Source organism: Homo sapiens, chromosome 4 (genome assembly GCF_000001405.40).
Source record: "Homo sapiens chromosome 4, GRCh38.p14 Primary Assembly".
NCBI classification, from domain to species: domain Eukaryota; kingdom Metazoa; phylum Chordata; class Mammalia; order Primates; family Hominidae; genus Homo; species Homo sapiens.
Genome location: NC_000004.12, coordinates 168,428,301 through 168,448,935, shown reverse-complemented (window position 1 = coordinate 168,448,935; position 20,635 = coordinate 168,428,301). Strand labels below are relative to the sequence as shown.

Genomic DNA, 20,635 nt, shown 5'->3' with positions numbered 1-20,635 from the left:
GGGACTTATAGATCACCATCTGTAATATTTGTGATTGTAATGACTTTATCATTCCACCCAGAAATGTCCCTTGTGACCTACCTTATAGGGGGTTAACCAGGAGTATGAAATTATTCCATGCCTCCCTGCTAATAATGTTTTATTTTTAATTTTCAGAACAAGTGGTGTGAATATTTCATTTTAAGCAACTTAAACGTTTTTGGATGCTGGAATCTGAATTTAAATCATGTTTCTGACTTGTATGATGAGCAATTGTTAAAGAATATAGCCTTCTACTATGAATTTGAAAGTACTCAAGGTAGTACCTGAATATGCATTAACATTATATCATGAACAAATTATATAAAACCCTTATAAATTTTCCAGTACATACCACAGCAACATTTTTGTTTCTTGAAAACCTTTGTGTGTGTACATACTTTTTACGTATTTTATTTTTTCTTCACTTAATAGCATTTGAAAATGAGTATAATGCTATGATATGATATGCTATGATATGATAGCATATTAATAGTTATATTTTTTATTTAAATGGTAGATGCATGATATTTTATAACGCTTGCTGTAATTAATATAATCCTTTCACTATTTTTGAACATTTAAGGATATATTGCATTTTTCCTAAAAATAAATAAAACTGCATTTTGGTACATACATAATTTTTGCCTTCCTTTGAATATTTTTATAGAGTAAATTATCTAGAGTGGCTTACATAGTCAGAGAATAATAAAACATTTCAAAACATATTTTTCCTGAACGAACATTATTGAAGTTTTTTGGACCTCTGGCATTTAATTCCCTTAAATGACAAACACTTGAATAAACTGACTGCATAAAATGTAGCAAATTTTACTAGTTTTAACAAAATTCTCACCCTCTCCATATTCTGTAAACTCCTTTTTTTTTTATTATACTTTAAGTTTTAGGGTACATGTGCACATTGTGCAGGTTAGTTACATATGTATACATGTGCCATGCTGGTGCGCTGCACCCACTAACTCGTCATCTAGCATTAGGTATATCTCCCGATGCTATCCCTCCCCCCTCCCCCCACCCCACAACAGTCCCCAGAGTGTGATATTCCCCTTCCTGTGTCCATGTGATCTCATTGTTCAATTCCCACCTATGAGTGAGAATATGCGGTGTTTGGTTTTTTTGATCTTGCGATAGTTTACTGAGAATGATGATTTCCAATTTCATCCATGTCCCTACAAAGGACATGAACTCATCATTTTTTATGGCTGCATAGTATTCCATGGTGTATATGTGCCGCATTTTCTTAATCCAGTCTATCATTGTTGGACATTTGGGTTGGTTCCAAGTCTTTGCTATTGTGAATAATGCCACAATAATGTGTGCATATGTCTTTATAGCAGCATGATTTATAGTCCTTTGGGTATATACCCAGTAATGGGATGGCTGGGTCAAATGGTATTTCCAGGTCTAGATCCCTGAGGAATCGCCACACTGACTTCCACAATGGTTGAACTAGTTTACAGTCCCACTAACAGTGTAAAAGCATTCCTATTTCTCCACATCCTCTCCAGCACCTGTTGTTTCCTGACTTTTTAATGTTTGCCATTCTAACTGGTGTGAGATGGTATCTCATTGTGGTTTTGATTTGCATTTCTCTGATGGCCAGTGATGATGAGCATTTTTTCATGTGTTTTTTGGCTGCATAAATGTCTTCTTTTGAGAAGTGTCTGTTCATATTCTTTGCCCACTTTTTGATGGGGTTGTTTGTTTTTTTCTTGTAAATTTGTTTGAGTTCATTGTAGATTCTGGATATTAGCCCTTTGTCAGATGAGTAGGTTGCGAAAATTTTCTCCCATTTTGTAGGTTGCCTGTTCACTCTGATGGTAGTTTCTTTTGCTGTGCAGAAGCTCTTTAGTTTAATTAGATCCCATTTGCCAATTTTGGCTTTTGTTGCCATTGCTTTTGGTGTTTTAGACATGAAGTCCTTGCCCATGCCTATGTCCTGAATGGTAATGCCTAGGTTTTCTTCTAGGGTTTTTATGGTTTTAGGTCTAACGTTTAAGTCTTTAATCCATCTTGAATTGATTTTTGTATAAGGTGTAAGGAAGGGATCCAGTTTCAGCTTTCTACATATGGCTAGCCAGTTTTCCCAGCACCATTTATTAAATAGGGAATCCTTTCCCCATTGCTTGTTTTTCTCAGGTTTGTCAAAGATCAGATAGTTGTAGATATGCGGTGTTATTTCTGAGGGCTCTGTTCTGTTCCATTGATCTATATCTCTGTTTTGGTACCAGTACCATGCTGTTTTGGTTCCTGTAGCCTTGTAGTATAGTTTGAAGTCAGGTAGTGTGATGCCTCCAGCTTTGTTCTTTTGGCTTAGGATTGACTTGGTGATGCAGTCTCTTTTTCGGTTCCGTATGAACTTTAAAGTAGTTTTTTCCAATTCTGTGAAGAAAGTCATTGGTAGCTTGATGGGGATGGCATTGAATCTGTAAATCACCTTGGGCAGTATGGCCATTTTCACAATATTGATTCTTCCTACCCATGAGCATGGAATGTTCTTCCATTTGTTTGTATCCTCTTTGATTTCCTTGAGCAGTGGTTTGTAGTTCTCCTTGAAGAGGTCCTTCACATCCTTTGTAAGTTGGATTCCTAGGTATTTTATTCTCTTTGAAGCAATTGTGAATGGGAGTTCACTCATGATTTGGCTCTCTGTTTGTCTGTTGTTGGTGTTTAAGAATGCTGGTGATTTTTGTACATTGATTTTGTATCCTGAGACTTTGCTGAAGTTGCTTATCAGCTTAAGGAGATTTTGGGCTGAGACAATGGGGTTTTCTAGATATACAATCATGTCGTCTGCAAACAGGGACAATTTGACTTCCTCTTTTCCTAATTTAATACTCTTTATTTCCTTCTCCTGCCTAATTGCCCTGGCCAGAACTTCCAACACTATGTTGAATAGGAGTGGTGAGAGAGGGCATCCCTGTCTTGTGCCAGTTTTCAAAGGGAATGCTTCCAGTTTTTGCCCATTCAGTATGATATTGGCTGTGGGTTTGTCATAGATAGCTCTTATTATTTTGAAATACATCCCATCAATACCTAATTTATTGAGAGTTTTTAGCATGAAGGGTTGTTGAATTTTGTCAAAGGCTTTTTCTGCATCTATTGAGATAATCATGTGGTTTTTGTCTTTGGCTCTGTTTATATGCTGGATTACATTTATTGATTTGTGTATATTGAACCAGCCTTGCATCCCAGGGATGAAGCCCACTTGATCATGGTGGATAAGCTTTTGGATGTGCTGCTGGATTTGTTTTGCCAGTATTTTATTGAGGATTTTTGCATCAATGTTCATCAAGGATATTGGTCTAAAATTCTCTTCTTTTGTTGTGTCTCTGCCTGGCTTTGGTATCAGAATGATGCTGGCCTCATAAAATGAGTTAGGGAGAATTCCCTCTTTTTCTATTGATTGGAATAGTTTCAGAAGGAATGGTACCAGTTCCTCCTTGTATCTCTGGTAGAATTTGGCTGTGAATCCATCTGGTCCTGGACTCTTTTTGGTTGGTAAGCTATTGATTATTGCCACAATTTCAGCTCCTGTTATTGGTCTATTCAGAGTTTCAACTTCTTCCTGGTTTAGTCTTGGGAGAGTGTATGTGTCCAGGAATTTATCCATTTCTTCTAGATTTTCTAGTTTATTTGCGTAGAGGTGTTTGTAGTATTCTCTGATGGTAGTTTGTATTTCTGTGGGATCGGTGGTGATATCCCCTTTATCATTTTTTATTGCGTCTATTTGATTCTTCTCTCTTTTTTTCTTTATTAGTCTTGCTAGAGGTCTATCAATTTTGTTGATCCTTTCAAAAAACCAGCTCCTGGATTCATTAATTTTTTGAAGGGTTTTTTGTGTCTCTATTTCCTTCAGTTCTGCTCTGATTTTAGTTATTTCTTGCCTTCTGCTAGCTTTTGAATGTGTTTGCTCTTGCTTTTCTAGTTCTTTTAATTGTGATGTTAGGGTGTCAATTTTGGATCTTTCCTGCTTTCTCTTGTGGGCATTTAGTGCTATAAATTTCCCTCTACACACTGCTTTGAATGCATCCCAGAGATTCTGGTATGTTGTGTCTTTGTTCTCGTTGGTTTCAAAGAACATCTTTATTTCTGCCTTCATTTCGTTATGTACCCAGTAGTCATTTAGGAGCAGGTTGTTCAGTTTCCATGTAGTTGAGCGGTTTTGAGTGAGATTCTTAATCCTGAGTTCTAGTTTGATTGCACTGTGGTCTGAGAGATAGTTTGTTATAATTTCTGTTCTTTTACATTTGCTGAGGAGAGCTTTACTTGCAAGTATGTGGTCAATTTTGGAATAGGTGTGGTGTGGTGCTGAAAAAAATGTATATTCTGTTGATTTGGGGTGGAGAGTTCTGTAGATGTCTATTAGGTCTGCTTGGTGCAGAGCTGAGTTCAATTCCTGGGTATCCTTGTTGACTTTCTGTCTCGTTGATCTGTCTAATGTTGACAGTGGGGTGTTAAAGTCTCCCATTATTAATGTGTGGGAGTCTAAGTCTCTTTGTAGGTCACTCAGGACTTGCTTTATGAATCTTGGTGCTCCTGTATTGGGTGCATATATATTTAGGATAGTTAGCTCTTCTTGCTGAATTGATCCCTTTACCATTATGTAATGGCCTTCTTTGTCTCTTTTGATCTTTGTTGGTTTAAAGTCTGTTTTATCAGAGACTAGGATTGCAACCCCTGCCTTTTTTTGTTTTCCATTGGCTTGGTAGATCTTCCTCCATCCTTTTATTTTGAGCCTATGTGTGTCTCTGCACGTGAGATGGGTTTCCTGAATACAGCACACTGATGGGTCTTGACTGTTTATCCAATTTGCCAGTCTGTGTCTTTTAATTGGAGCATTTAGTCCATTTACATTTAAAGTTAATATTGTTATGTGTGAATTTGATCCTGTCATTATGATGTTAGCTGGTTATTTTGCTTGTTAGTTGATGCAGTTTCTTCCTAGTCTCGCTGGTCTTTACATTTTGGCATGATTTTGCAGCGGCTGGTACCGGTTGTTCCTTTCCATGTTTAGTGCTTCCTTCAGGAGCTCTTGTATGGCAGGCCTGGTGGTGACAAAATCTCTCAGCATTTGCTTGTCTGTAAAGTATTTTATTTCTCCCTCACTTATGAAGCTTAGTTTGGCTGGATATGAAATTCTGGGTTGAAAATTCTTTTCTTTAAGAATGTTGAATATTGGCCCCCACTCTCTTCTGGCTTGTAGGGTTTCTGCCGAGAGATCCGCTGTTAGTCTGATGGGCTTCCCTTTGAGGGTAACCCAACCTTTCTCTCTGGCTGCCCTTAACATTTTTTCCTTCATTTGAACTTTGGTGAATCTGACAATTATGTGTCTTGGAGTTGCTCTTCTCGAGGAGTATCTTTTTGGCGTTCTCTATATTTCCTGAATCTGAACGTTGGCCTGCCTTGCTAGATTGGAGAAGTTCTCCTGGATAATATCCTGCAGAGTGTTTTCCAACTTGGTTCCATTCTCCCCATCACTTTCAGGTACACCAATCAGACGTAGATTTGGTCTTTTCACATAGTCCCATATATCTTGGAGGCTTTGCTCATTTCTTTTTATTCTTTTTTCTCTAAACTTCCCTTCTCGCTTCATTTCATTCATTTCATCTTCCATTGCTGATACCCTTTCTTCCAGTTGATCGCATCGGCTCCTGAGGCTTCTGCATTCTTCACTTAGTTCTTGAGCCTTGGTTTTCAGCTCCATCAGCTCCTTTAAGCACTTCTCTGTATTGGTTATTCTAGTTGTACATTCGTCTAAATTTTTTTCAAAGTTTTCAACTTCTTTGCCTTTGGTTTGAATGTCCTCCCATAGCTCAGAGTAATTTGATCGTCTGAAGCCTTCTTCTCTCAGCTCATCAAAGTCATTCTCCATCCAGCTTTGTTCCATTGCTGGTGAGGAACTGCGTTCCTTTGGAGGAGGAGAGGCGCTCTGCTTTTTATAGTTTCCAGTTTTTCTGTTCTGTTTTTTCCCCATCTTTGTGGTTTTATCTACTTTTGGTCTTTGATGATGGTGATGTACAGATGGGTTTTTGGTGTGGATGTCCTTTCTGTTTGTTAGTTTTCCTTCTAACAGAGAGGACCCTCAGCTGCAGGTCTGTTGGAGTACCCTGCCGTGTGAGGTGTCAGTGTGCCCCTGCTGGGGGGTGCCTCCCAGTTAGGCTGCTCGGGGGTCAGGGGTCAGGGACCCACTTGAGGAGGCAGTCTGCCCGTTCTCAGATCTCCAGCTGCGTGCTGGGAGAACCACTGCTCTCTTCAAAGCTGTCAGACAGGGACATTTAAGTCTGCAGAGGTTACTGCTGCCTTTTTCTTTGTCTGTGCCCTGCCCCCAGAGGTGGAGCCTACAGAGGCAGGCAGGCCTCCTTGAGCTGTGGTGGGCTCCACCCAGTTCGCGCTTCCAGGCTGCTTTGTTTACCTAATCAAGCCTGGGCAATGGCGGGCGCCCCTCCCCCAGCCTCGCTGCCGCCCCTCCCCCAGCCTCGCTGCCGCCTTGCAGTTTGATCTCAGACTGCTGTGCTAGCAATCAGCGAGACTCCGTGGGCGTAGGACCCTCTGAGCCAGGTGCGGGATATAATCTCGTGGTGCGCCGTTTTTTAAGCCCGTCGCAAAAGTGCAGTATTCTGGTGGGAGTGACCCGATTTTCCAGGTGCCGTCCGTCACCCCTTTCTTTGACTCAGAAAGGGAACTCCCTGACCCCTTGCGCTTCCCAAGTGAGGCAATGCCTCGCCCTGCTTCGGCTCGCACACGGTGCGCGCACCCACTGACCTGTGCCCACTGTCTGGCACTCCCTAGTGAGATGAACCCGGTACCTCATATGGAAATGCAGAAATCACCCGTCTTCTGCGTTGCTCACGCTGGGAGCTGTAGACCAGAGCTGTTCCTATTCGGCCATCTTGGCTCCTCCCCCATATTCTGTAAACTCTTTAAAAACTTGTTTTGAAATTAGTTTTTAAAGTTGCAAGCTTATATGTAGCATATTGTGCTTCATTATTTTTGGGAATAATTATATATTTATCATTCACATTATTTAATAAGGACTATGATTAAAATGGTGATGTTCCTTTGTTAATTTTTTGGGCAGGGAGGGCATCTCGGTACATTGCCCAGATGGTCTTGAACTCTTGGGCTCAAGCGATCCTCCCGCCTCAGCCTCCTGAGTAGCTGGAACCACAGGCCCATGTCACAGTACCTGGCTCTGCATTATATTTAAAGAGAAAATGACTTTAAAAAAGTACTGTCATAGTGTCATGACTAATTTTCATGCAAGTGTATTGTGTAACTCACTGTAAGTTTCCATATTTGATCATCTTTCCAGAGCTCTATGAATTTATTCAAAAAAGATGCTCTGTGTGTGTCTGCATGTGTATGACTTTTGAGATTTTAATATTTTTTATTGTTATGCAGAACCACATTTGAATTTGGGAGATTCCATTAGGAGGGATTATGAAGACCTGTGGAATGTTGTGTCACACCTGGTTAAAGAATTTAACGTTGGAAAGTCTTTTCCTCTGAGAACAACAAGAAGACATTTTCTTAGACAAGAGAAATCGGTCATTCAAGGTACTAAATGGGTAAATTAAAGTGGAACAAAAGCATGTTTGTCCTGAACAACTTTTAGAAGCCCTAATAATTCAATTCTTCCAAGTGTAAATAATTTTCCTTCACTGTGCTTTCTTGTTTACCTCTTAATTGAGGTTTAAAATACATATAATAATGTGGTTAAAGTAAACCAGTGTGCAGAGTAAAGCCTGGTGAAATTTTACACAGATATATACATCTGTGTGATAACCACCTGGATCAAGAGAGAGGCCATTTCCAGCACCTCAAGAGAAAGTTCCTCGGGCCACTTCCCAATCCATCCTCCCCCTCCTCTCATCTCTTTAACAGACTTCAATATGATTTCTTAGTTTTGTCTGCTTTGAACTTCATTGGGATGGAGTCATATAGTGTATATTCTTTCTATCTTTTTTCCTCTCGGTATAATGTCTGAGACATTCCTGCCTGTTGTATTTACCATTATGCTTAAAAGTTATTGCTGTGAACTGTCTCTTTGTATGAATATATTACACTCTGTCCATTTGGAGCATTTCCTATTGGCTATTGAATTGTTGAAGAAGCGGTAAAATGATTACAAAGGTGCTGATGGATATGAAGGAGGAACTAATGAGTGCTGTGGAAACTAATGATTAACAGACCAACCCAGTCTGGAAAGGTTGACCTCTCTGAGGAAGTGAAGAGAAGTGCAATGAGTCGTGGTCTGAAGGATGAGTAATAGTTAGCTGGGGGAAGGGAAGAGCAAAAGGTTTTCCAGAGAGGACATGGCATTTGAGAATTCCCCAAGGAGCTGAGATATGTTTAGTGTGACCAGAGAGGAGAAAAGCTGATGAAACTGAGGAGGGGGTACTTGCTGGCTCTGTTAAGGACTTAGGAAATTGTAAAAGTAATGAGAAGTGATTGAAGGGTAAAACTGTTATGAATATTCTTACATATAACTTTAGGTAGATATATGCATTTATTCACTTCAAGTATATACATAGAAATGCAGCTTTATGAACTACTGTCCACATATTTTCTAAGGTGATAGTTCCAAGTTAAACTCCCACCTTCCATGTGGGCATTTTGGAATTTTAGAATTGCTTCCCAGCCTTGTCAATCTTTTTTTGTGTGTGTGTGAGACAGAGTCTCACTCTATTGCCCAGGCTGGAGTGCAGAGACACCATCATAGCTCACTGTAATCTTGAATTCCTGGCCTCAAGCAAACCTTCCACCTGGGCCTCCCAAACTGCTGGGATTACAGGTGTACACCATCATGCCCAGCCTATTGTTAGTCTTTTTTATTTTGGCCATTCTGATGGGTGCGTGGGGGTAGCTCATTGTGGTTTGAATTTGCATTTTCTTGGACTTTTCATCTGTTATTGGCCATTTGAATATCCTCTTGTGAAGTGCCTGCTGAGTTTTGCCTGTTTATAAAGTATAGGTCGTAAGTATTTCACAAGTCTATGATTGATCTTGAATTTACTTTTGTATGGTGTGAGAGAGGGGTTATTTCTTCACCCTCTGTTCTCTTTCATAAGTTTATCCTTGAGCCTTGTTTATCCTTGAACCAATATTAAAGTTGATTATGGTAGTTCTGTAAGAAACTTTGGTTTTGGTAGTATATGTGCTCCAACTTTGTTCTTTTGAAGATTGTTTAGTTTATTCTGAATCCTTTGCATTTTCATTTAAATTTTATAATTGGCTTGTTGATTTTTAATAATAGTCTGCTGACAGGTTGATTTTTGTTGTTTTGAGTCAAAGGCCCATTTGGGAAGTGTATCAGTTAGGTTTCTACCAGATACACAGAACTAGTAGGATACACATGTTAAGAGATTTATTGCAGGGAATTACCTTACCTGATTATAGGGACTGGCTCGGCAAGTCCAAAATTTATAGGGCAGGTCTTAAGGAAGGGGAGGGTGGAGCTTTGGGGCATGAGCTGAAGTTGCAGCCTACAGGTGGAATTTGTTCTACCTCAGGGAAACCTCAATTCTGCACTCAGGGACTTTGAGATGATTGGATCAGGCTCTTCTATATTATCTAGGATAGTCTTCTTTACTTAAAGTAAAATTGATTATAGTCTTTAAGCCCATCTACAAATACCTTTACAACAACATCCAGATTCATGTTTGATTGGATAACTAGGGAACTATAGTCTGATGAAGTTGACATCTAAAACTGACCATTTCAGTCTACCTCTTGTCATCTGAGCACCCATATACATATCCTTAAACCATACTTAATCTCCCAATAAAGGCACTAACGAAATCACACTTGTGCTTAACATGATACAACTATACTGCATACAACCAACGGCATGTTAACTCTTCCTTCAAAAGACAATGCTAAGTTCTTGGGCAATTTTCACTCGTCTGCTTTGATATCCTGTAACCTAAATACTGTGATACAAAGCACACTATTATGACTACATTGTATGTAAACTGATAAAAGAAGAAAACAAAAATATCTGCTTAATATATACGTATTTTCAAGACAAAATAAGGAAGAAATACCCCTAACTATTAGAGTCCTCATTTCTGTAACTGGTCACATGGTCATAGCTGGTATTTATGACTGCCTTCTCCTCCCATTACCTATTCCCTAAACCCTTTGCACCCAGCAAGCACCTAAGCTGGTCATGGTTCTTTGCCTGAGGTCCTCCTTTTCCAGGGTTGCTGTCACAAAGCACCACAAGCTGGTGGCTTATAGCAACAGAAGTTTATTCTCTTACAGGTCTGGAGGTTAATGTCTGAAATCAAATTGTCTACAAAATTGGTTTCTTCTGGAGGGCCTGAATTAAAAACCAAACTGTTAATGGAAAAACTAAACTTTGTAAAATATTTTAAAGAGGTTTATTCTTAGCTAATATGGGTGACTGTGGCCTGGGGAAAACACAAAATATTTTAAAGAGGTTTATTCTTAGCTAATATGGTTGACTGTGGCCTGGGGAAAACACAATCCCAAGAAGTCTTGAGTAAGTGGCCCTGAGGTGGTTGGGTTACAGTTTGGTTTTATATATTTCAGGGAGGCAGGAGTTACAGGTAAAGATATAAATCAATACATAGGAGGTATACACTGGCCCCAAAAGGCAGGATATCTTGAAGCAGGGGCTTACAGATTATAGGTAGATTTGGAGATGATTTCATTTGCAATTGGTTAAAGGAACAAAGCTTTGTCTAAAAACTTGGGGCCAGTTGTGGTGTCTCAGGCCTGTAATCCCAGCACTTTGGGAGGCCGAGGCAGGGGGATCACCAGGTCAGGAGATCGAGACCATCCTGGCTAACACAGTAAAACCCCATCTTTACTAAAAATACAAAAAATTATCTGGGCATGGTGGCATGTGCCTGTAATCCCAGCTACTCGGGAGGCTGAGGCAGGAGAATCGCTTGAACCCAGGAGTTGGAGGTTGCAGTGAGCTGAGATTGCGCCCCTGCACTCCAGCATGGGTGACAAAGTGAGACTCCGTTTCAAAAAACAAAACCAAAAAAACCCAAAAAAAAACCCCATGGAGTCAGCCGAAGGGTTTAAGTGAAGACCAGGAGTCTGCTAATCATCATGTGATGTTCTGCCAGAGTCAGGTTATCAGAGCAAGCCACGGTATACTGAGTCATAGTGACCTATAGGGTGCATGACATCACCTTTGACTGGCATGGCCTTAGATCTTGTTCATGATCTTATTGCCACAAAGATTCTGTTCTGTCAGTCTTGCAATCTCTATTTTAACATTAACGCTAGTCAGTTTTTGTGTCTAAACTGCAAGAGGGAGGAGAGTATAGTGAGGCCTATCTGACTTTCCTTTGCATCGTGGCTCAGAACTCAGTCTTAAATGTTTCTCTGGGGTAACCTTGGCCATTAGGGGGTCCATTCAGTTAGTTGCGGGGGTTGGACTTTGGATTTTATTTTGAATTTACAATCCCATGCCTCTCTCTCAGCTTCTGGAGGCTGCTGGCAATCCTTGGTGTTCCTTGGCTTGTAGATGCATCACTTTCATCTCTGCCTCTACCTTTACATAGTGTTCTCCTTCTCTCTGTGTGTTTCCTCTGGGTCTGTGTTCAAGTTTCTCTGTTCTTGTAAGAATAGCAGTTATTACATTAGGCCTCACCCTAATCCAGAATAACCTTATCTTAACTTGATTTCATCTGCAAAGACCCTATTTCAAAATAAGGTCACATTCACAGATAGTGCGAATTAGGACTCGAACATGTCTCTTTGAAGAACACAGTCCAGTCCAATCCTTTGTTCCTTAAGGGTCTGGACCCATAGAGTACTGTTTGCATTGGGTTGTTGTAGTTTTCCATTGACGTTAATCACATGGCATGGTAGTATGAAGGGATGTACTACGGAACCCTTAAGGGATCTCCTGTATTCTGGACATACTTTTTCTTACCCCTCCATTGAGTAGTAGCAGCCCAATGTCCCCTGGAGAATCAGGATAAATCACAGCAGCCAGCACAATAACCCTTTCCTTTGCCTGTTGATTCAGAGGTACAAGGAGCTCAAAATGGCAAGATGGCAGTCCTAACTTCTAGTTCAATGGAATCATTGTTGTGTCTCCTGGTGGAAACATTCCTCTCTTTGGAACTAAGATATCTAAACAAACAGAACATAGGGGTGCCAGAACAGAAAGCAGAAATTTTGCTAGCATATCACTTAGGGGTAATAGTTTGTGGAGTCATTCGTTTTCTATCCCTGGAATCCTGAATTGTGAATTATGCCTATAATTCACAAACAACACTATATATTGGCCACTAATTCAGAGTAATTACAGCCTTCTGGAGAACGTTGCCCCAGCCTTCAAAGTATTTCCACCTAGCTCACACTGTAACTGTGTCTCTAAAATGCTGTTAGACTATTCTACTGAGGCAACTGCTTCAGGATGATGGAGAATATGGTAAGACCAGTGCTTTCCATGAACGTAGACCCACCGCCACACCTCATTTGCTATAAAGTGAGTTCCTTGTGATCAGAAACCATATTGTGTGAAATACCAAGATTGTGGATACGGGTTCTGTAAGTCCAAGGATAGTATTTCTGGCAGAAGCATTGCATGCAGGGAAGGTAACTATATCCAGAGTAACTGTCTATTCCAGTAAGAAGAGGGAATGACTCCTTTCATGAGGGAAGCCTGCAATCGTGTCAGCCTGGACATGTTGCAGGGCCTTCTCTTATTCTCGGCTCCAATAAAAACTAGCAACTTTTCAGGTCACTTGATCAATAAGCCAGAATAGCACACCTAAGTGAGAAATGTAGCTTTCCAAATTCACAAAGGCTCCCCCAGGCATTATACTTTATTTTTTATTGTAGGAGGGGCCAGATGCAACAACTACCCTTCTCCTAAGAAAGGATATCTTGATATGCCCCACACAATTGGACTCCTACAAGTTTTGCAGAGGTGGAACATCCTTGAATTTTTGTTCCGTTCATTTTCCACCATCAACAAATTTTGCTGAGATGGAAATTCTCTGAATTTTTGCTGAATTGATTTCCCATCTTTGACATACAAATGTCCTATTGGTATGTCAAGTAGTGTCTACTTCTTATTCACTAGATCCGAGCAGCGTAATATGAACAATGTGATGGACCAGTGAGATACTTTGTGGAAGAAAAAAATTTCTTCCGGAAAATTCCCTGGGGGCTAAATTATGACATGGGGCTAGGGTAGGACAGTGAAGGTATATTTTTCTGGCCTTTCCAGCTGAAAGTAAATAGCTCCTGGTGGTCTTTATTAACAGGAATGGAGAAAAAAAGCATTTGCCAGCTCGATAGCTGCGTACCAGGTACCAGGAGGTATATTATTTTGCTCAAACAATGAAACCACCTCTGGAACAGCAGCTGCAGTTGGAGTCATCATAGGGTTAAATTTACAGGAATCTACTGGCAATTTCCAGAATTCATCTGTCTTTCTGCATAGGCCCAATAGTCAGGTTGAATGTGGATGTGAGGAAAATCAGCACTCCTGTATTTTTCAAGTCCTTAATAGTGGCATTAATCTCTGTAATCCCTCCAGGAATGCAGTATTACTTTTGGCTTACAATTTTTCTAAGTATAGACAGTTCTAGTGGCTTCCATAAGCCCTCGTTCCACAGGTCAGGGAACCAACCTGGAGATGTGTTGAGTTGCTGAGTATGTCTGTCCCAGTTACGCATTCTGAAACTGGTGAAATAACCACACAGAAGATTCAGGGACCCACTGTGAGATGAACTTGAGAGAAAACTTCATCAGTCACCTGACGTTCCACAAGCCCTTACTGACTGGGGGTTGGGGGTTGGGAGCACAGTGACATTTTGGGTCTTCTGGAATTAGTGCCAGTTCAGAATCAGTATCCAGTAATCCCCTGAAGTCAGATGATTTCCCCTTCTCCAGTGGACAGTTACCCTGATAAATAGCAGTAGGTCCCTTTGAGGAAGACTGAAGAAAGATGAACAGTATGAGTTTTGGCAGTGGAGCAGGGTCCTTCTTCAAAGGGATTTAGCCTTTTCTCCAATCAAGGGGTTCTGGGTCTGTAACAGGGCTTAAGTTTAGGAACTGATTAAGGAGCTATGACTGGTGATTTAAGTTAGGCATCTGTTCACTTACCTTAGAACTCTTCCTTTTGTACAGATCAATTTAGAATTTAGTGGAATGCCCATCTTTTGTTTTTTTCTAGGAACACTATGACCAGCTAGCCAATGCTGTAGGTTTCTGTGAATCAGACTATTCAGATTATTGCTTTGACTTTGCCGTCCATTATGGTAACCATAACTACTTTATCTTTAGTGATTAAGTGCTGCCACTTGGCCCCTGCCACCCCAGGATTGAATTATCCCTGTGGCATTTAGGGATCCAAATTTGCTGGTAGCAGTTCCCACAGCAATTTCTGACTTACACAATAGCGTAACTATGGAGCTATTCCAGAATTCTGGGGTTCCCCTTACAATTTTATTTCTCATAGTTGTGGTGGAAGGTGTGTCCTCTGCACCCTCATGGGGTGAGTGAGCAGGTCTTACATGATAAGTCACTCTAACCTTCCAATCTCTCTAAGCCTTTGGATACCTTAGGTCAATCACATGTCCAATTGGAGTTTCAGAAGCAGAGGATAGAGACATCAGAGGAAGAAATATCCATAGATAATGACTGAAAATAATTTTTTTCTGATTTAATGAAAGACACAAATACCTGGAGTTAGGATGCAGAAATGAGTCTCATATACGATATACACATGTACACACTCACGCATCTATGCACACACAACACACACACAAACACACACCACTAGATACATTATAGTGCAACCGCAGCAAACCAAAAACAAAGTTCTCTTAAGAATAAGAAAGAAAACAGTTACCTACAAAGACATAAAAGTTAAATTGCTAGCAGACTTCTCCACAATAACAATAAAAGCAAGATGGTAATGAAATAATATCTTTTAAGTAATGAGACAAAATAATGGTTGTTGGGGGCTAGTGTAACTAGTATAAGTACAACTTATGAATGAGGAGATAATATAGATATTTTCAGATGCACAAGAACTGAGTTTACTGGCATCATATCCTCATTAAAAATATTTGTATATGATACAATTCAGGAAGAAGGAAATAGTCCCAAAGGAAAGTGAGAGATGCAAGAGGAATGCAGATGGGAATTGTGGATACATTGGCAAAAGGATATTGTCCAGAATTTAGGAATGAGGGAGGAGAAGGATTATATTTTTTCATCTACAGTTTTGAACACAGCTAAATTTAAAAATCCTCTAGTCTATTATATTCAGCATGTAAACCATACATAGGAACTGTGAAAATAGAAATTAAAGAAGGCTCCAAAGAGTATTTGGTGATAAATAAAATACTTTTATTATTAATTTTTTCCTATTTTTGTGATTTAATTTTCATGGAGGCTTTTATGTAGGTGAACTCTGAGTGGTGCTTCTTTTTTCAAGTGCTGTTATTACTATACTGTGACACATTATTCATACTGTGACATAATAAAAAAGAATAAGTACTTGGAAATGGAAAATCTACATGTTTGTCTATCTAGTGATCTGCTACCATCTACATACATATGTAAATGGTTATATACTAATTTTTAATATACTGGCTTGCTACAACATGTTTGCTTTGAGGAATATCTCATTTGGAAGCTCTAACTTGGTAAACATTAGTAAAATTTATGTAAAATATTATGCATTTGAAATTTTAAAAATAATGTTCAAAATTCATATAGGATAGTTACACCTTTCCTCTCATCTTAAATTTATATTTGTTTTCAGAAATCTCCTTGGAAAAGATGCCTAGTGTGGGCTTTATTCCAATGACATCTGCTGTAATTGATGAGTTTGTTGGAGATATGATGAAGGATTTGCCTATTCTAAAGAGGTACAGAGTTAATGAAGTACCTGATTTAGTGCCATCAACTTGAAAATACTAGTGAAGTGAATGACTCATCAAAATGTCTATGTAATATATCATATCAGGATATGGTAAATTCTATATAATGTGACTATAATACATTTAAGTGATTGTAACATCTAGTATGTCAATATTATTTGAACATTACTATATAAAAATCTATATTATTTTGAACGTATAATAAAATTACTCCAGCTATAAAGTTTACTACATTGTTGTTGATGTGGATGTGACTGTTACAGGAATGGCAGAAATTCAGGGTTTTTATGTCTCTGAGGTTTTATGACCCACATTATATCACACAAATAGAAAAAGAGGTTGTACAATTTCTGTTATCACAGCCTGAAGTTTGTGCTAAAATTTGAAAAGCTTAAAATTTAAAAAAATTATGTATTTATTTTTACAGTGATGATCCGGTTGTTCCTTCACTGTTTAAACAAAAGACATCTGATGAACTTTTGCACTGGCATGCTCAAAGACTCCTTAGTGACGACTATGACAGGATCAAATGTCATGTTGATGGTGAGCTCTGTAACCACGATAAAATAGAGCTTATATGAATTGCCTTTGCTGCTCTTTTTATTAACAGTGAAAAGATATTACATTGTAAACACGTTCTATTTTGAATGAGATCTATCTATATATTATATATAATATATATTTTGAATGAGATCTCTATATACAATATATACTATACATATATGTGTGTATATATATATACACACACACACACAATATATATATATATATTAATTGAAGAGGCACAGTAGGAAGCATGCTGTCTGAAAAAAATCCCATTATATTATCTGGTGTGCATATGTACGTATGCATGCAGATGTATCTGTTAATTCAAATAGAGATTTATTAATCTTTTAAGGATGTACATATGCATGGTATTGTCATGAAAATATCAGATGCTGTTTAAGTGGGAAAGATACTTGATGGTTTTAGGAATCTGTCTATACCTTGAAGTAAATATGCTGATACAGCCATAGTCTTCCTAACATTTTAGCTCTTTTCCTGCTAAACTATTGTCTAGTTGATTGCATGCTGCCAAGTACCAGCATAATTGTGCCCATGAAAACTCAGTAATGAGGAGGAGTTGAATCTACAAAAAGTAAAGCCCATGAAACAATTAAAAATGGGTCCTAAGGAAAGGAATTCATAGATCTTTTTTTCCTGGTTCATTCTTTTAGTGTCTTTCTCCAATCCGATGTTTATTTCCACCCTTTTCAGAACTAGTAAAACTTTTCTTTTTATTTTATTTTATTATTATTATACTTTAAGTTTTAGGGTACATGTGCACAATGTGCAGGTTAGTTACATATGTATACATGTGCCATGCTGGTGTGCTGCACCCATTAACTCGTCATTTAGCATTAGGTATATCTCTTAATGCTATCCCTCCCCCCACCCCCCACCGCACAACAGTCCCCAGAGTGTGATGTTCCCCTTCCTGTGTCCATGTGTTCTCATTGCAGAACTGGTAAAACTTTTCAGAAGGATCTAGAAATAAGTCAAGTAAGTATGCCAATTGCATATAGGAATAAGCTATTTATGTAAGTGTCTACGAAGATTCTGCATGGTGTGTTTCCAGAGTGGTTTGATTTGTGATCACATACACAGACACGGAAAAAGCAACAACATCCAAAACAACAAAACACTAGCTTATTTATATCTTTTATGTTTGTAAAGAGTGTTCCTAGGTCTCAAGTGAATCTAGCCTTGCTTCCTGGGAATTTTCTGTGTCATTTGAATTTTTGCATGGTGTAAGGTAATTGGTATCAGCATCTGTCAGCTGTAAGCTCCTAAATATTTGACTGGGACCAGAAGTAGAGGTTTTCCTTTTTAGGAGTGCAAACAGAATGTTTTAGGTCCGGAGTCAACAAACTTTTTCTGAAAGGTCTAAGTAATAAATATTTTAGGCTTTGCAAACCAAGAGACCAAAATTGACAGCATGATGTAGGTACTCATATAATCATTTAGAGTGTAACCAATTTTAAAAAATGTACTCATCAGATTTGATCATGTGGACCTAGTTTGTAGACCCCTGTTGCAGGTGAATGTGCTATTAGACTGCCCCCAACCTTCCTCTTCTCCTCTTCTCCTGCCAAATGACAGGGGCAATGTCCAGGTACTTAGACCCGGACATTAGCAGAGCTTCGTCCTCTCTCTTCTTCAAATAATATAGGGAATTATTTTGTTAGCGTATGGTAATCTGACCTCATTGGCAAATACTGAATTATTATTCTGGAGTTAAAAAAATAATGTGTGGGTAGCACACATATATAGCAATATTTTAAAATACATGTTTACATTTTAAGTCTTTCTATTTCAGAACAATCTAGAGATCCTCATGTTCTTGATTTCCTGAAAAAGATTCAGGATTATCAGCAATTTTATGGGAAATCGTTAGAATCAATCTCTACGAAAGTCATTGTGACTCAAACTACTCGGCCAAAGGAGGATTCCAGTGGTGCCAGTGGTGAAATATTACAGGTAGATCGCAAAGATTTTACCTAATTTTTTTCTTTGATGTTGTTTTGTTTTCTTTAGGCTCATATTTGTCTCTGGAGGTGTCTTCCATTCTCTTCTTTCTCATGTTTGCTAACTGTCTTAGTCCATTCTCACATTGCTAGAAAGATATACCTGCGATTGGGTAATTTATAAAGAAAAAAGGTTTAATTGGCTCACAGTTCTGCAGGCTGTACAGAAACTGTGGTGGCATCAGCTTCTGGGCCTCAGGGAACTTCTTTTTCTTTTTCTTTTTCTTTTCTGAGATGGAGTTTCGCTCTTGTTGCCCAGGCTGAAGTGCAGTGACACGATCTTGGCTCACTGCAACCTCCGCCTCCCGGGTTGAAGCAATTCTTCTTCCTCAGCCTCCCAAGTAGCTGGGATTACAAGCACCCACCACCAGGCCCGGCTAATTCTTGGTATTTTTAGTAGACACAGGGTTTCTTCCTGTTGGCCAGGCTGGTCTCGAACTCCCGACCTCAGGTGATCCACCCACCTTGGCCTCCCAAAGTGCTGGGATTACAGGTGTGAGCCACCACACCCAGCCTTCAGGGAACTTATAATCATGATAGAAGACAAAGGGGGAGATGGCACTTCACATGACTGGAGTAGGAGGAAGTGTTGGGGAGGTGCTACATACTTTTAAACAACCAGATCTTGCACAAGTCACTCATTCACTATCATGAGAACAGCACCAAGTGGGATGGTGTTAACCATTTATCGGAAACCCCCTCCCCATGATGCAGTCACCTCCCATCAGGCCCAGCTTCCAATGCTGGAGATTACAATTCGACATAAGATTTGGTGGGGCCACAGACCCAAATCATATCACTTACAAATGAGTTATTTTACTTGCTTGCCATTAGAAATCCTAAGAAGATTACATAAAATCTAGTATTCTATCTTTTTTAGAATAAGAAAAGATAGATTTATCTGATAACAAGCTTAATGCATCAAAGAATTACAAGCTTGGATTTAGAAAAGTCAAATTTAAGTTAAAAGAAATGTTTGTGGGCTGGGTGCAGTGGCTCACACCTGTAATCCCAGCACTTTGGGAGGCCAAGGTGGGCGGATCACCTGAGGTCAGGAGTTCGACACCAGCCTGGCTGGCCAACGTGGTGAAACCCTATCGCCTCTAAAAATATAAAAAAATAGCTAGGAATGGTGGCGGGTGCCTGTAATCCCAGCTACTCAGGAGGCTGAGGTAGGACAATTGCTTGAACCCAGCAGGTGGAGGTTGCAGTGAGCCAAGATCGTGTCACTGCACTCCAGCCTTGGTGATAGAGCAAGACTCTGTCTAAAAAAAAAAGAAAAGGAATTTTTGTATATTAGTTTGTTACAGTGAAAATCTTTTTACATAGAGGTGGTAAAAATAGGCCTAACATTTCCATCAGCTTCATTATTTTGCCTGAATTTGGAAAACTGTCCATGTTTTTAAGTCATTTATGCCATTAATCTGTCCTGGACTTTTGTTTATATTAAAGGTAAGACCAGGTCTTCTTGAAAGGGTAGGAATCTTCCATACCTATTTTCTTTCTCTTCCTGCCTTTACACTAGACCATGCTTGTTTACAAACTTAGAATCCCTGTAATTCAAAAAAAATTTAAAAAGATAATGTGGAAAAGTATCAGGTAACACAAATGATAGTGTTTATAACTGAACAAACGGTAGATTTTATGGTTCTGCTTGGGAAGGTACTACTTTGCGATCATTCTTCATCAGAGGGGATTTCATTAGGCTTCAGTACTTCTCTCTTAGCCTCATGGTTGGGAATTAAGGAAAGACATTTATTTGCTTTGGTAAATCCCCTTCCTGAGGTCAACCATGCTAAATACGTGAAAGAGCACAAACCAAACTATTGATGACCAATGGCACTTATCATGGCTGCCTTACCCTAACTGGAGTAGGAAAGGGAATATTTTTGGAGAATGAAACATAAAAGCCCCACAAGGAAAAGATCCAAAAAATGAAAACATTTCTCTTTCCCACTAATTTCAGAAAATTGTTAATCAGAGATCTAGAGTCTTCCTTTTCCTTGCCAGACCGTCAATTCATTAACCAGGCTGAAGTTGCAAAGGCTACAATCAGTGACAGGATATCTCCTCAAAGCCATTCTAGATAATAGTTATCACTGATTACACTGTAGGTTTCTTAGCACTGCT

At 39.2% G+C, this 20,635-nt stretch overlaps 1 protein-coding gene across 21 annotated transcripts in view; it reads left to right on the top strand.

The window, feature by feature from the left end:
* DDX60L (DExD/H-box 60 like) overlaps positions 1-20,635 on the top strand; it is a 123,758-nt gene that overhangs the window by 31,557 nt on the left and 71,566 nt on the right. For 20 of the 21 annotated variants that reach the window (XM_047416399.1, XM_005263341.5, XM_011532403.3 and 17 more), the window contains 5 exons: positions 157-298; positions 7,444-7,599; positions 15,821-15,926; positions 16,366-16,481; positions 18,298-18,458. In XM_047416399.1, coding sequence (XP_047272355.1) covers positions 157-298; positions 7,444-7,599; positions 15,821-15,926; positions 16,366-16,481; positions 18,298-18,458 — 681 coding nt within the window. Of the gene's footprint in view, positions 1-156; positions 299-7,443; positions 7,600-15,820; positions 15,927-16,365; positions 16,482-18,297; positions 18,459-20,635 lie in introns of those variants that run through there. The other variant, XM_011532409.4, reaches the window with a different exon arrangement.